The 17,846-nt window shown below is 39.7% G+C and overlaps 1 protein-coding gene across 11 annotated transcripts in view; it reads right to left on the reverse strand.

Annotated features, from left to right (window-relative positions):
• SRGAP2B (SLIT-ROBO Rho GTPase activating protein 2B) overlaps window positions 1–17,846 on the reverse strand; it is a 208,093-nt gene that overhangs the window by 50,950 nt on the left and 139,297 nt on the right. For 9 of the 11 annotated variants that reach the window (NM_001385227.1, NM_001366280.2, NM_001330684.2 and 6 more), the window contains one exon: window positions 17,202–17,364. The exons of the other annotated variants lie outside the window; for them this stretch is intronic. In NM_001385227.1, the coding sequence (NP_001372156.1) occupies window positions 17,202–17,364 (163 nt within the window). The remainder of the gene's footprint in view (window positions 1–17,201; window positions 17,365–17,846) is intronic. 11 annotated transcript variants of the gene reach the window in all.

The raw sequence follows: 17,846 nt of genomic DNA on the forward strand, positions 1-17,846 counted from the left end.
CTTCCACCCTACTCCTCCTAAAGCACTCTCTTCACACAGAAGCTGGAATAATCCCATTTAAACAGAAGTCAGACTGTATCATGCCTCTCCAGTCCTCCAGTAGCCTCCAAGGCCCTTCCTGAAGAAACCTGCTCGCTGCCCCAGACCACATCTCCCACCACTCTTCCTCTTGCCTACTCTGTACAAGGTCTCCTTACTGTTTCTCAAACCAGATAAGCGCATTCCCATCTCATGGCCTTAGATGTGCACTATTATCTCTGCCTGAAATACCTTCCTCAAAGAGCTAAACAGCAAAATCCCTCATTTCCTCCAAGAATCAGTTCCAATGCCAATTTATCAGTGAAGCCGTCTCTGACCACCCTATATAAAAGAGCAATATCCCTTGTACCCCATCCTCTTTGCCCTGTTTCATTTTATCATCATCTGATATATTATATATTTACTTTTTTATGTATTATCTGTTTCAACTATTAGAATATAAGCTCCATGAAGGCAAGAACTTTTTGTTATCTGCTATATTCCAGTGCCTAGCACAGTGCCTGGAACATGGGAGGCACACTGTAAATATCTGCTGAATGACTAAGTGAACTGCTGAATGACTAAGTTGAATGACCTCCTCCCACCTCATGTCAGGCCACTCAGTCCTGTCTATAATGTCTTTCCTCTGCCTTCTGGTAAATCTAATTCTTTTAGTTCCCATTGTCATTATCCAAGTTTCTATTATCCCTCTGAATTATTGTAGCAGGCTCCTATATAGTTTCTTCCATGCTAAACCACACTGAGTACTGCTGCCAATGCCACTGGAAATCATGGTTTTCAAGATTTCATTGCCCTGCCTAAAATTGTCAATGGCTCTCTTTGACCTGTAGTTTGAACTCCTTGGACTGGCATTCAAAGCCTTCTATACTCAGGCTTCAGGCTATTTCCACATATTTCTCCCATTGCTGGTCAAAAGGAAGTCTCTGCTGTCAGACTGTCCTCATGAGTGACATCTCTAATGGGGACAAAGAGGCAGGAAAGGAACTTGGAATCAGATAATATGGAAATCTTCAAAAGATATTTCTGTAAGATAAGAAACAGATGGCTAATTGAGAATCCTGGAAGCAGGTAATTAAAATAACATCGGCCCAATTCTTTCCCCTCTATGAAGCTCTCCTGACTTACTTTTCATGAATCTGTTTTTTTTCCAAGATCCTATAGACAACAAATTGTCTGTACGACTCATTACATTGCTATCTAAATTGTAACCTGCTTTGGGAGTCTATGGTCTGTCTTTCACCTGAGATGTAAGAAATCTAAGATCTTGAACCATGTTTTAAGCTTGCTCTGCAGGCCTTTTATACTGCCAACTTGAATACCGAGCAATTACAGACAATAAAATAATATTATTAAACTCAACTGAATGGGTTGGTAGTGGTTATTTGTGGTCCTGAATTTGAGTAAAGCAATACTTTTTTTTTTTCCTTCAGTCCCTGAAAGCTCAGGTAGACTATGTGGTTTTCCTTGCCTGAGAACTTAAAGGTCCAGAAAGACCACTGACTCTGAGAGCAGCAAAAAGAGAATGCTTTTTCTACTCTCCACCCTCAAAATGAACATCAAAAGAAAAACAAGGTCATGGGAAGAGGCAAGGCAGGAAGGGATGCAATGCTTATGTGGTCAGATGGCTTGGATTATCTTGGCTTTGGAGAAGAGATGATTAAAGTTGGAGACTGGATCGCCCAGTTTGTTCTCTGTATTTCCTTTCTAGCCTATATGATAATATACCGCTAAAAAAAGATTAGCTTAGAGATTGCAAAGACCACCCTAGCTGGGCGAAGGCACAAGACACACGCTCTTCTGCATGAACACAACCAGATACCTTCTGACCATAACATAACTTTGCAGAGCACTTTGTTCCCAGGTTTTACTGATGCCTATAGCATTCTGAGAAGGAACAGTGAGGGTATGAGTAATTTCATTAGTGTAAAGATGAGGAAAGTGAAACTCAGCATGGTGAAAGAACTCCACTGAGCCAGCCAGGGCCCAGGCTCAGGCGTAGCACTGATTCTCAACTAAGCTCTAAGACAATGAGCAAGACAGAAGAGGAAGAAAAAGGGAAAGCAGCAGGGGGAAAAACCCTCTCTCCTTACCTTATATTAAATGGAAGTAGGGTATTTCCAAATGAAAGCCTTGGCTACCTAGTCATCCTAAAAACAAGTGATTTCCAAAAAGACAACGAGATTTTTAATTGCTTCTAGATGTACAAGAACATAGTCCAGGGGAGAGTCAAGACAACAGCCAGCTGGTCGTGGTGGCTCACGCCTGAAATCCCAGCACTTTGGGAGGCCAAGGCAGGCAGATCACTTGAGTTCAGGAGTTCAAGACCAGTCTGGCCAACATGGTGAAACCCCACCTCTACTAAAAAAACACAAAAAACTTAGCTGGATGTGGTAGCCCACGCCTGTAATCCCGGCTACTCGGGAGGCTGAGGCACGAGAATCACTTGAACCCGGGAGGCGGAGGTTGCAGTGAGCCAAGATCACGCCACTGTACTCCAGCCTGAAAAAAAGAAACTCCATCTCCAAAAAAAAAAAAAAAAAAAGACAACATAGCCAAAGAACCATAAGGAATATATGAAAAAGCTATGGGACAGCCAGACTACAGACTGCTGTATGATCATATAGGCAACATTTAAAAGAAGATGCAATGACATGATAAAAATGCTTCTCCAAATGTTAAATGAAAAAAATTACACTAAGCTTAATATATAATGTAACTCTCATTTTTAAAAAAAATGTGTATAAAAAAGATTGGAAGGAAATACATCAAAATGTTAATCATGATTCCAAGTAATTATTATTTTCTTTTTATTATGTTTTTACCCACAATATCTTGAAAAAAACACGTTACTACTTTTTAAAATTTTTTCTTTTCTTTCATAGCCTTAACTGAAGCTCAGTATTACTTTAACAATTGAAAAAACCCTAAGCTGAAGGGTTTTTTGTTTGTTTGCTTCCAAATTAAAGGAAAACTGAAATAAAAAATAGAAGATGTTACTTCTCAGTCCTGTCCCTGGGCCTTACTAATAACTACTTAGCTTACCAAGAGGATGATTCTGGGAGCTCTTGAGACCATGAAGAGGGATGGTCTGAGGTTCCTATGGTCTTTTAAACAATTAGTGCAAAGAATTCAAATTAATCTATAACTGGAAGTTTCATATTGAGTAAATGCTGGGAGAAGCTGGATGTAGACCCAAATGATTTGTAGAGAACAGAGAAAAAGGAAAAAAAGAAAAAGAAAACAAAACAAAAAACCCCAAGGGCTGGGCTTAAAAGCAAAGAAAGGTAGGATCTAGTAGAAAAACTAAAAGACCAGAGAAAGTCCAGTATTGTAAGGAAAGAAGATGAAAATGAAAAAAAACTGAAGACGCTGTGTCAAAAGGAGGAAAACTTAAATTTTGTCCTCACTTTAAATAAAAATCATGCTCAGACAAGCAGGGAGGAATTCAAAGGAAAAGTCTTGACAAAGATAAATAGGGGAGTCAACAGAAGCCTGTCCTGCAACAAGGGAGGCTAAAGTCAAAGGTGTTACTCTCTCTCTGGACAAGCTGGGCAAGAAGCAGAATCAGAATAGCACAATGGAAATTCTGACCTGACAGAAGCACAGCAACGTATGACTGCAGAATGCATGAGTCATTAATTCCCTGCACAAGCACTGGTTCTTTAGCTTACCAATATGACTGCCACCTTCCTACATGCAAGGCAGCAGAGCATGATGATGTGAAGAGATCAGGGGAAGCCAACTGCCTAGGCTTGAATCCCATTTCTCCCATCAACCAGCTGTATAATCTTCAGTAAATTGCTTAAACCCTTTGCCCATGCTCTTATCTACAAATGGGGATGATAAAACCAGTACTCATCTCAAAGTGTCGTTGTGATGAGATTAAATAGGTTAATACATGTAAAACACCTAGCACAGTCCCTAGGCATGGTTAGCATTCATTTAGAATTATGCTTTTTTTAAAAAAATTATTGCTGTGATTCTTAATAATAACAAATTGACACCTTGTCAGCTTGCACACTATTCGTGTGTGTGGTTTCTCCCAAGACTAATACGTTTTTACAAACTACTATTTGCATGGTGCCTGATGAGCTGTATTAACAATCCTCTCCTTTTCTCAGAGAGGCATTTTTATTTTATTTATTTATTTATTTATTTTTTGAGTCGGAGTTTTGCTCTGTCACCCATGCTGGAGTGCAATGGCACAATCTTGGCTCACTGCAACCTCTGCCTCCCAGGTTCAAGTGATTCTCCTCCCTAAGCCTCCTGAGTAGCTGAGATTACAGGAATACACCACGACGCCTGGCTAATTTCTGTATTTTTAGTAGAGACAGGGTTTCAGCATGTTGGTCAGGCTGGTCTCAAACTCCTGACCTCAGGTGATCCACCTGCCTCCACCTCCCAAAGTGCTGGGATTACAGACATAAGCCACTGTGCCCAGCCTCAGAGAGGCATCTTATAGTCAAGTAAGAGAGGTACAGAGATGACAAAAAGTAACTTGTCTAAAATTATCAACTGATACTAAAATTATCAGATGAATGACTGAACTGGCACCCAATATTTGTAGGCTGGCACCATGAATAACACCTTACAATCAGGTTTCTATCATGTGATTTAAAAAATGTAACTAGAAAATGGAAGGGTCAGACTATCACAGCCCTATTCTAGAGGGTGCCAATATTAGCATCACTATCGGTAGACTAACTAGATGTTATGTATTTCCTGCTCTGATGCTACATGAAGTACTAACATCACTTATTATGCATTCTAAGTCACTTGAATCCACTTGGACCTTTAGAACCAACTTCCAATTTACAGGAAATATGGGATACGGGCAGAAGCTTAACAACACAAGTAAACAACCAGACAAATCTAGAAGATGGGAGATTTTGCAGGACATCTGGCTTGGTCTCTTCAACAAATCAGTTTCATGGAAAGAAAATAATACTAGATTAAAGTACACTTAAGGGACATAAAACTGTGTGCATTAGATACTGGCTTGGACAAACTAGTTGTCAAAGAGATTTTTTGAGTAATTAATTAAATCTTTACATGGCCTGGGTATTAGATGAGACAAAAGTTTATTGAAATGTAAAGGAGAAGGTCTTGACTAAAACAGTAGATTACAAAATAGTATGTACAATAAATCTGTTTTTTATATCATATTTTTGCTTTCTGTATTTTTAAATTTTCTATAACATACATCTACTATAAAATTTAAAAGATTATTCAAAAGAATAGAGAAAAGGAAGGGAGGGAGGAAACAAGGAGAGGGAGAAGGAAAGAGGAAAAGGAAGAGAGAAAGGAGAGGGAAGAGAAGGCAGAGGGGAGAAGGAAGGGGGGGAGGGAGAGAGACAGAGGAGGGAGAGAAGGAGAGAGAGAGAGAAAGAGAGAGAAAAGGTTTTGAATTCACTATTCTTAAAGCCTGGCTTGTGACCAGGTTCAACCATACACTGGAAAGAATAACTTCCCATTATAATGTTCATAGCAGCATTATTTATAACATACATAATAGCCTCAAACTGAAAACTATCCAAATGCCATCAACAGTTGAACAGATAAAACTAAAAGTCTCATGTCCTAGGAACCCCCTCAGCCCAAGGCAAACAGGATAGTTGGTCGTCTTAGGTGCTGCCCACTGTAAGGAAGATAGAATTTGGCATTCAAAGCCTGCCAAGTTAGAGGGGCTTGATAAACATCTTGGGTTTCCCATGGAAACCCCAGAAAGGCCATGCCTTAAGTATACAGTATTTTCTAAGACGAAGGGCAAAACCAAAATATACCCACTGTAATGAAGTATAAAGCCAAGCCCCCACAAGATCAAGGTGATCAACCAGTAATTTAATAGCCTCCTAGAATAAAACTTCATAATCTTCAGAGGAAGATAAGTACATCTAGAGTTTCTATGACATATTATCTATGATGTCCAATATGCAATAAAAGATTAGTAGGCATGTAAAAAAAAGTCAAGAGGAAAATCAATAAACAGACCCACAGATAATGTCAATGTTAAAAATAGCAAACAAGAATTTTTAAGTAATTGCCAACTATGTTTTAAAAATATCCATACAATAATTTGGAGGCTGAAGGGGAAGGATCATTTGAGCCCCAGAGTTCAAGCCTAGCCTGGGCACCACAGCGAGACCCCATCTCTAAAAAAATTAGCCAAGCATGATGGTACACACCTGTAGTATCAGACACATGAGAAGCTGAGGTGGGAGGATCACTTGAGCCCAGGAGTCTGAGGGTAGGGTGAGCTATGATCACACCACTGTACTCCAACCTGGGTGACAAAGTGAGTCTCCATCTCAAAAAAAAAAAAAAAAAAAAAAAAAAATCTGAAATAAAAAAAATTCATTGGATGGCATTTATAGCATCTTAGGTGAACAAAAGAAAGAATTGGTTGTTTTATTTATTTATTTATTTATTTATTTATTTATTTATTTATTTTTTGAGATGGAGTCTTGCTCTGTCTCCCAGGCTGGAGTGCAGTGGCACAATCTCAGCTCACTGCAAACTCCACCTTCTGGGTTCAAGTGATTCTCCTGCCTCAGCCTCCTGCAAACTCCACCTTCCGGGTTCAAGTGATTCTCCTGCCTCGGCCTCCTGAGCAGCTGGGATTACAGGCATGTACCACCATGCCCAGCTAATTTTTGTATTTTTAGTAGAGACGGGGTTTCACCATGTTGGCCAGGCTGGTCTCAAACTCTTGACCTCAAGTGATCCACCCACCTTGGCCTCCCAAAGTGCTGGGATTACAGGTGTGAGCCACCATGCCCAGCCAAATTGGTAAACTTTAGAAATCATCTAAACTAAAGCATACAGAAAACAAAAATTTGAAAAAAATGGACAGAACATTAACAAGCTGTGGGACTGAATCAAGTAGTCTAACATACATGCAATTGATAACAAAGCAAAACAGGAAGGAGAGATGGGACAGAAAAAAATATTTGCCAAAAATTTTTCTCAAATTGAGGAAAAATTTGATATTTTTCCTACAATTTCTACAAATTAGATATTTGACAGATCAGGGATTGTCTGGATATTATATTTAACCAAGCCAAAGGAATACAATGAAAACCACGCTTACACTCTTATGATAATCAAAGAACTAAAAACCAAAGATAATGAATAAATATTGGAAGCAGCCAAATAAAGAAGGGCTGGGCATGGCAGCTCACGCCTGTAATCCCACCACTTTGGGAGGCCAAGATGGAAGGACTGGGATTGCTTGAGCACAGAAGTTTGAGTCTACAGTGAGCTGTAATCATGCAACAGGACTCCAGCCTGGGGGACAGAGACTCCATCTCTTTAAAACAAACAAACAAACAAACAAACAAACAAACAAAAAGATGATATATTACATACAAGTAAGCAATAATAAGAACCTAAGAACCACAGCTGATTTCTCATCAGAAATAATGGAGGCCAGAAGGCAAGTGAATTACATATTCAAGTTGTTGAAAAAAATTATCTGATTCCATTTACACAAACAAATTTTTAAATGGGCAAATACTTATATTGTGTTAGAAGTCAGGATAATGGTTACCCTTCAGAGAGTAATGACTTGAAGTGGAGAGAAGGAGGGTTCATGGGATACTAGTAACATTCTTTCTTCATCTGGGTGCTGATTACATAGCTGTATTCAGTTTGTAAAAATTCATTGAGCTGTACACTTTATAATATGTGTACTTTCTCTAAGTATTTTATACTTTCATAAATAGTTTAGGAAAAAAACTTTGCAAAAATAGATGAAAGGTTCAGAGAAAATACACATCTAGGGCCTACTACAGTGGGAGGTATTCACAGTGTGAATTTTACGAAAGGTTACTATTATTACTTTGTCATCATCATCATCCCACAGAAAGTTTTGAGAGACCTAAATAAACCAAAAACCCCAAGCTCCCTTGGGAGGCAAATCTTACTCCTCAATTTGATTTTCAAGCTCTTTTAAGCACCTAGCAGCATAATGCTGTGCATGCAGTATTCACTAAAATACTTATTGACTGTATAATCTCCTAATTTAGGGTAGTATTCCAATACAAGGTTGCATATGGACACTTTTATTTTTTGTCTACTGCACCTCTCTTTCCCATATTCCATTTCCCATATTCCATTCCTCGTCTTCAGATTCCCTTAATAATCCTTTGATTTATACAAATCGAAGTACTATTATACTTTTGAAAGTTCTAAATATAGCACCTTGAGCTCTTTTAGAAAAGGCAGATACCTAAGAACTAAAACACCAAAAAGGCAAACACACAAACTAACCTAAGCAAAAGACTACAGACATCTTTGATGCACACATTCCCTTTGAGCTGCACCTTCCTAAGTCTAAATAAAAGCCTGGACCACCCAGAGAGCAGCCTCAAGGGAGAGCACACAGATGCTGCTGACCCAGTGTCACAGAAACCAAAGCTAAAACACCCCCAACAGCACGAGCTGCAAAGCTCCCCTCGGTGTTGGCTTTGGCAGCAAACCTGACGCCCCTTATCAGCAGAGATACCTTTGAAGTAGCTGGCAGCCTTCCATCCCCTACTCAAATAAGCTCAGCTTCACATTCTATTCTTTTCTCCAAAGAGGATCTTTTCATCAGATATGAGAGAATAAAGCTCAATTAATTAGAACAGATTTTTGCTACCAACAAGATAAACTGGGCAACTGGAACAGCTGTCTGTAAAGCACTGTGCAAACGCTGTTAGTGACCATGCTATAATGTGGAGGAAATTCAGTCCAATCACAGATACTGAGTTCAGACGAGCAGGAGGGATATGGTAGACGGGGAAGGGAGGGAGGGTTAAATCACTCATCTACTCCTTCTCCCAAAGAGTTAAACCCTTTCTTAAGGGGGCAGAGCACAGGGACACAACCTTTGGAAAACCATTCTTTTCCTCCATTCATTCAATCCACAGCACTTACCAGGGACATTCAACTATACCAGCATTGTGGGTCACCACTTCTCCTCTTCTTATTTATGACCATCACACCACCCAAAATGCCTTCTCACAGTTTCATCATCCACTCTTCTCACACATGCCAAACAGCTGGACTCAAGACACGCCATAGGAAATCCTATCTCAGTCCAAACGGATACCAAACAGATAGGTAACATGCACTGCTTTTAGTTTTAAATCTCATTTATCCTTTTTAACTACCAGATTCATTTCCTTAGTGCCAAAAGAAATCTGACTGTTGTGGCAATTCTCTTGTGACTGATTCACTAATGGCAAAAGGACACGTTTAACATCTCCAAGACCCTGGAGAAAAGTATTAACTGAGCCTCTTACATTCCTTCCTCAGCACTCTTCTTGCATTCCCCACTTCCTGCAGTGTGAAGGAAGCCAGATTCACCCTTTGTCACCAGATTTATTTATCTGAAGCTAACTTCACCCTTCATCACCCTCCAAGAATAAAGTAGGAAACCACAATGGGTTGCCTAGAGAAACTAGCCTAGATGCTTTAACACTGTCTGTTGCAGAGGCAAACATGGCTCACATACAGATAGACAGGATCTTAGGGCATCAGATATTCTCTGTGCTCTGCAGTTTCCCCAAGATGGAAAACAGTGCAGCAGTGATTCTCAGCCCTAGCTGTAGGCAACAATCACCCAGGCCCTACTCCAGAGATTCTGACTAAATCATGCTGGGGTAGGGTCTTGGCATGGGTATTTTTTAAATTAGATCAACTTTATTGAGGCATAATTTACATAATAAAATGTACACATTTTAAGTGTATAATATGATAAAGTCTGTCTAATGTACCACCATGGTCAAGATTATGTAACATTATAAAAATGTTATAAAGCATTGTTTAAAATGTTATATAATGTAGGCTATAAAAACCCTACAAACTCCCTTGTGTCCCTTAGCAGTCAATCCTTCATCCCCATCCTGGCCCCAAGGCAATCAATGATCTATTCTCTATCACTATAGATCAGATTTGTTTTTTCTAAAATTTTATAGAAACAGAATCATACAGAATGTACTCATTGTGCTTGGCTTCTTTTTATCAGCATAATGTTTTTTGAGCTCATTTATATTGTATCAGCATTTCCCTTCTTATTGCTGAGTAGTATTGATATATGGATACACTACAATATGTTTTTCCACTCATCTGTTGATGGACATTTGGGTTGTTTCCAGTTTGGGCTATTATGAATAAAGTACCTAAGGCAGCTGTAACAAATTACTGCAAACATGGTGGCTTAAAACAACATACATTTGTTCTCTTAGAGTTCTGGAGGTCAGAACTCCAAAACCAATTTCACTGGGCTGAAACCAGTGAGTCAGCAGGGCTGCTTCTGCTCCGGAGGCTCTCAGGAAGAATCCGTTTCCTTGCCTTTTCCAGCATCTAGAGCTGTATTCACTGGCTCATGGCCACTTCCTCCATATTCAAAGCCAGTGGCATAGCATCCTCTCTCTATGACTCTGTTTCCCTCTGCTTCTATCACATGACCTTCCTCTCTTTTATCTGTAATCTCCTTCTTATGAGGACACTTGTGATTGCATTTACAGCCCACCCAGCTAATTAAGCATAATATCCCCATCACAAGATCCTTAAATTAGTCATATCTGCAAAGTATTACATGCATAAGGTAACATTCACAGGTTCCAAAGGTTAGAATATGGACCTCTTTTTTTTTTTTTTTTTTTTTGAGGGAGGCATTACTCAGCCTATCACAAAAGCTTTATGAATATTCAGGTGCAAGTCTTTGTTTAGACATATGCTTTTATTTCTCTTGGGTAGATGCCTATAAATACCTGGAATTACTGGGTCATATGACAAGTACAAATTTAATGTCATAAGAAACTGCCACTATTTTCCAAAGTGGTTGTACCACTTTCACACTCTCACTAGCAACATATGAGGGTTCTGGCCAACTTCCTTAACACTTGGTATTGCCAGATGTTTTAATTTTAACCATCCTAGTGAATGTATGGTATATCTTCTTACAGTTTTAACTTGCGTTTCCATCACGAGTGATGATATTGAGCATATTTTCATGTGTTGATTAGCCATTTGTATATTTTTATTAGTGAAATGTTTATTAAAACCTGTTTCCATTTTTAAAAATTTGGGTAGTTTGTCTTATTACTGAGTTCTCAGAGTTCTTTATTCTATAATCTGATATAAGTCCATGTCAGATACATATTACAAATATTTTCTCCCAGTCTGCGTCTTGTCTTTCATTTTGTAAATAAAGTCTTTCTAGGAACAAAAGTCCAAGACTTGATGAAGTCTGACTTATCCTTTATAAAATTTTATGGTTCATGCTTTTTATATTCTAAGAAACCTTTGTTTATTCAAGGTCACAAAGATTTTTTTAAAACTCCCCAAGTAACTTTCATGCCCAGGCAAAGTTGAAAGCTACTGGTCTATAGGGAATCTGACTTGGCTTTTTCAATTTAACCTAAATTTTTGCCATAGAAACTTAAGAGTCCTAACAGCAAAACAGGAGTACAGTTCACTGCAGTGCTGTAAAAACAAGGATGCAACTGAGCCTTAGCACTGTCTGAACTGACCAGCTTCCAAGCTTAAGTGTGAGCAGCTGTGAAGGGCTAGAAACAGTGATTTGAGAAAGCAAAGTCAGAGGTACTTTTAGTGTGTTCCAGCTAAGTAAAAAGAGAAAACAGGATTATCCTCTCTCCTGTAGGAAAAAGCACACCCAAGTTTATTTCAGTTTAAACTAAGCAAGTGGGAAAAATTATTTCTGTTCTTGGTGGGCTTCTTTAGAACATGCCCCTCATGGAGACCACAGGGAGATGGGAGTCAAACTTGGCAGTTTTTGCCCATGGTTTTTGAAGCCACCGCATTAAACAAATGAAGGTGGCAGCAATAATATTTGCCCAAATCCTGGTTCCAACAGAGGTTAGACAGACTGAGCTTTCATTACATGAAAGGAGATGTCAGGAGCACCAAACGGGCTCAATTTTCCCTCTCGTCCTAGACAAAGTCAGTCTGTTTTTAAGCTGTGAACAGGAGGCTACTTTCTCCAGATGTTATATTTAGCTAAAGGAATCTCCAACATGGCTTCATGCAAAATGTAAAATATGTCCCAGCAGACATTACCACAAACCAGAGGGCTAGCAAGGAGCCTCCCTTAAGGGGGTTCAATAGCATAGAGGGGCCAATTGTGCAGCCACCCTGACATCCCTAAATTAGCTAAATTAGCTGTGAGCCAGATTTGGGGCCAATTCTCACATTTAATGAGTCCTTGTTTCCCTCTTACAGGGGGCAGAGATATTTTGCCCCTGAGGAGTGTAAACATGCTGCCCTATTTCATTCCCAACTTCCAGCTGCTTGCCCCAACCCCAGGTAGGAAAAACAATCCAATGTTGATGTTCAACATCTCCATACCCTTTGAAGGTTTATGTGCAAAAGAAAAATTAGGTTAATTCTATAACTAAGTGAAATATCTGAATTCAATGAAACAGAGAAAATCCAGGATTTTCTCTTCTCTGTACAACATACTTAGAGAATCCTAATACAGTATGTAGATGAAAATGTTGGATTCTAGAGCCAGGTGACTGGAGTTAAACGTTAGCTTCATTTCGTTTTTCTTAATCTCTCTCTCTCTCTTCTTTTTTTCTGAGACGAAGTCTTGCTCTGTTGCCTAGACTGAAGTGCAACAGCATGATCTGTGCTCACTGCAACCTCCACTTCCCGGGTTCAAGAGATTCTCCTGCTTCAATCTCTTGAGTAGCTGGGATTACAGGCACTGGCCATCTTGCCTGGCTAATTTTTGTGTTTTTGTAGAGACGGGGTTTCACCATGTTGGCCAAGCTGGTCTTGAACTCCTGACCTCAGGTGATCTGCCCACCTTGGCCTCCCAAAGCGCTGCGATTACAGGCGTGAGCCACCGCTCCCAGCCCTCTGTTTTGTTTTTTGTTTTTTGTTTTTTGTTTTTTTTTTTTAAACAGACAGGGTCTGGCTCTGTTACTCAGGCTAGAGTACAGTGGCATGATTATAGATCACTGCAGCCTCAAATTTCTGGGCTCAAGTGATCCTTCCCGTCTCAGCCTCCTGGGTAGCTAGGCCTACAGGTGTGTACCACCATGCCTAGCTAATTTTTTTTAAGTGGGGGAGGGAGGTAGAGACAGAGTCTTGCTATGTTGCCCAGGCTGGTCTTGAACTCCTTGCTTCAAGCGATCCTCCCACCTCAACCTCCCAAAGGGCTGGGATTACAGGCTTGAGCCACTGTGCCTGGCCTGCTTAATCTCTTTAAGCCATAGTTTCTTCCTTCATAAAACAGCGATGATGACAATAGTAACTACTTTATAAAATTACGGTAAGGATTAAAGGAGATAATACATATAAAGTGCTTAACACGATACCTGGCACATAGAGGTTCAAAATATAATGACTTCTATTATCATAATTTTTGCAGTGAATCATTAAGTTTTATAGATTAAAAAAAGATTTTTAAAAATGTTGACTTTTGCTAGTGACAAACAGACCCAAATTCACATAAAGCACAGGTGTGTACAGCCATACCACAAATTAAGGTATCTTTTCTAAGCCTATGTCCCCAGAGAAATGGGTCCTTTTGCCACTGGAACCAAATTTACTGGTAAAACATATCTATTTTATGTATTTGGATCCCAATTTGGTATTTCTTTATTGCTGACATTGTAGATATCAGCACCTGAAATAATCCTTCATTCTTCAAGAAATCTGGTCTTCATTTGCTTAAGCTAGCCCTCTCCACACCTATATCCACTTTTGTTTGTCCTTATCTGTGGGATTAAAATTTACCTATCACAATTTAACAAAGGTAACCTAACAACCAGAAGGAAGCCCCCAGTGTAGGATCCCCTTATCGTCACAGAACAGTGGTATCCTGAATTTGGAAGGCACCATGGAGATCACATAGACCACACTCTTTTTTTAAAGTTTAGGGAACTGAGGCACAGAAAGAAGTCATTGTCCAAGGTCTCAGAGTTAAGAGCAGAGCTAGGCCCAAGAGAAAGGGTCACTTGGAAAAGGCATCTCCTCTGATAGCACAAAGCAAATCCCCGGGAAGATTCATGTAACTACAGAATGGCTGAGGACATTCCTTAGGACTCTTATCTGATACTATATCTTAACCAGTAGGATTCTAATTCATGTGCAAGGACACTCTAAACAAAAGAGGTTAAAAAACTGGGGTGTGGTATGAAGAATGTTTGTTTGCCCATTACTAGAAAGCAGAGAGGCTCTTTACCCAGCCAAAAGAGAATGAATCAATTTTTTTTTTTTTAGGAGTCAGGGTCTCCCTCTGTTGCCCAGGCTGGAGTGCAGTGGCATGATTACAGCTCACTGCATCCTCAAACCATCAGGGTCTCTCTCTGTTGCCCAGGCTGGAGTGCAGTGGCATGATTACAGCTCACTGCATCCTCAAACTATCAGGGTCTCATTCTGTTGCCCAGGCTGGAGAGCAGTGGCATGATCACGGCTCACTGCATCCTCAAACACCTGGGCTCATGCAATACTCCCACCTCAGCATCCCAAGTAGCTGTGGCTACAGGCACAGGCCACCATGCTCAGCTAACTTTTAAAATTTTTTTAGAGACAAGGTCTTGTTATGTTGTCCAGGTTGTTCTTGAACTTCTGGCCTCAAGCATTTTCCCACCTTGACCTCCTGAGTTGTTGGGATTACAGGAATGATCCATGGTGCTTGGCTCAATCTATTTTTATGATCTGCCAACCAGCTCCTAATTTAAGAGTTTTCTGCCTACATGGGAATGCCCCAAGGGAGGGAGAAAAGAGATTATTCACCCTGTGGGATAGTAATCATTGGCCATTCAACAACCCTGGGCATGTCTCTAATCAACTACAATTTAATTGATCCAAAGTTACAAAGATCAAGAGAAATTCCTATGATCTGCAACTATACACAACAGTATGAATAAATCTCACAAACATAATATTGAAAGAAACCAAACAAAAAAGAGTACATACTGTGCAATTCTACTTATATAAAGTATGAAACCAAGCAAAGCTAATCTCTGCTGTTAAAAGTCAAGACAGTTGTTATCCTTGGGGATTTAGGGTGGGGAGATGACTAGAAGGGAATATGAGGGGGTTTCTAGGGTACAGAAATGTTCTGTTTCTTGATCTGGGTGCTGGTTACACAAGTGTGAATTCAGTTTGTGAAAATGCATATAGCTATTAAATTATAATAGGCATACTTTTCTTCAGTGAAATGTAATATATAAACAGTCCTATGAGAAATAAGTTCTTCCTCACGCTCTAGCATAGTAATACACGGCTTAAGGAAGTCAACCCTGAGCCCATGGCTAGGAATATCATTCACAGACGAATTTTCTTCATGGATGTCATATGCCCCACACCTTGTATACATGCCATGTACCTACCTTTGGTGAAATATGCATAGGGCACTTGAAGAGCCAGGAACACTCGTGACTTTGCTATCTGGCTGCCTTCAGTATAAGCATCTCTGAGATCTGGAGAGGCTATTAAATTATCTAGCCTGGTTTTTCTCTAACCTTCTAAGGCTTGGTAAAAAGGGAGCTGAGAGACTGAGTGAAGTCTAGCTAGGTGAACAGATCTTATAAAAGTTGTTTTCTCGGATGAACAAAGAAAACGGAGGAGGAAACTATCAGTCAAGCCCTTTCCTTCTTGAGATAGTCTAAGTGGCTGTCAAGGTCATAGAGACGAGCTGTCAAAATTTCACCTAAATAGGTTTTAATTTTAGTCACACACATGCATCACCAAGTATTGCAGAATAATTCAAATTAATGACAACCAAGCTGAAGCTGATGCTGGAAACCATGGAGGAGATGGTGAGAAGTACCCTCACTCCAAAATGAGGTGTGGCCCCAACCACAGCACAGCCGGGCTACTAATAATAGCCAGTGAGCTCTGGGAGGAGTTATCTTTCTCTGCCTTCTTTTCGTCGTCAGATGATTGTACCCTCAATATTCTGTCTCTAAGACACAGGGAAAGCACCTTCACGGATGCAATTAGGTAGATGGAAGATTCCAAATCAGTTATTTGATCAGGCTGGTAATTACAGAAAAAAAATGGGGTATTAATTCCAGATCTAGTGAAATCTGGAAAAATTCCTGAGAACTGGAAAGCTGATCAAGAGCTTTGACTGTATCGACTACAGTCCTGTTTACCAGTCTTTTCTCTCATACTTTCAAATTTTAATAATGGATTTTGTCACCTGGAAACTGATGAATTCTAAATAGCCCTCTATAATCTTTTTCTACCTATAACTTTTAGGAAGATTATTTGCCTTCTGGAAAGTCTTCCGGGGATGTCAATGCTTGAATGGTAGACATGACATATCATATACAATGGTTGGGGCCTTCACCGCTGTCTGTAACCCAACCTCATGAATAAATGATTCCACTTTGAGCTCAAGCTGAGACAGCTTAGAAAAGAGCTTCCTGGATTTTCAAGAGGCTGGTTCCATCGTTGACAGGTAAGGTGAATTGGGTCCTTAAGATTATCATGATTATTTTGAGTTTTCCTTTGTCAAATTGTTCAACCTATACCCAAGGAAGTACGATAACAATTGAGTTCCGAAAGCATTCAGAGACCCAAAGACAAAGACATACCACGATAAGAATAACCACACTTTTGAGTCTACCTTGGCCAAGATAAGACCCTGGGAAGAAAACTAAACTAAAAACATAAACGTATATGAGTTTGCTAAATGAACTAGAATAGGAAAACATAAAATGACAGTGTTGGCCCCTTAAGCTCAACAGCTTCAAAAATCACTTTAAGAAAACTTCCCAAAACACAGTTTTTGTTAATAGATGCAGATTATGAATTATAGTACCAGCCCTGGGTTTATACCTTGCAAATGGTTCCTTTCCCAAGGCTACTATTAATTCAGCTCAGAAAGGAAGAAAGGAATGCCAATTCAAATAATTTTTTTCTCCACAAGTATGTGGTAGGGAATGACTAGTGGAAAGCCTATGAAGTGGGCCAATAAGATATTCTTTCTTTTATTTTTTCTTTCCAACTTTTATTTTAGGTTCAAGGGGGGTATATGTGCAAGTTTGTTACATGGGTAAATTGCATGTCATGGGGGTCTGGTGTACAGATAATTTTGTCACCCAGGTAATCAACATAATATCTAATAGGATTTTAAAAATTGTGTCATTGCTCCACCCAAGAACCTCTGTGAAGAAATATCTCTGTACCTTTTTAAAGAGTCTTCCTGAGTCCTCGCTGACTTGTACAAATCGAGGAATGATATTATTCAGGTAGATGTCACTCAGGGTGGTATGGTCCCTGCTTTCCCGCTTCACCTGGTTTAAGAGGAGATTCCAGCAGTTGACTGGAGAGAGAACATTCTGATCCTTCCTGTGAAGAAACATCAAGGAAAAGAAGTCATTGTTGATACGCAGCCAGGGCAACATCTACAACTATAGTCCGTGTCCTAAAATCACAGCAATCAAAGCCAATCCAGAAATAAAGATATTTTTCCTGAAGCTCACCTCTCTAGTTTTCTCCTTTTCTAAAAACTCAGTGGAGAAAAAAGGAGAAAATAAGGACAAGAAGGAGAGGGAGGGAAGAGGGGATGTACAAGGAGAAACAGGATTATCTGTTAGGCACCTACTATGTTCTAAGAACTTGGTGAATGCTTTATACGTATTATCTCATCTCATCTAAGCTCTATCATTTCATTTTAAGGAAAGAACTACCATTATCCCCCTTCAACTGATTAGAAAACTGAAGCTCAGAGAGGTTGTCACTTGTCTACAGCGAGTAAGACTAACACAACAAGTAAGAGGGCGCCAGGGACTAGAACAACAGTTCTGCATTGTCTGGCTAGACCAGGTCTA

Source organism: Homo sapiens, chromosome 1, assembly GCF_000001405.40.
Source record: "Homo sapiens chromosome 1, GRCh38.p14 Primary Assembly".
NCBI lineage: Eukaryota > Metazoa > Chordata > Mammalia > Primates > Hominidae > Homo > Homo sapiens.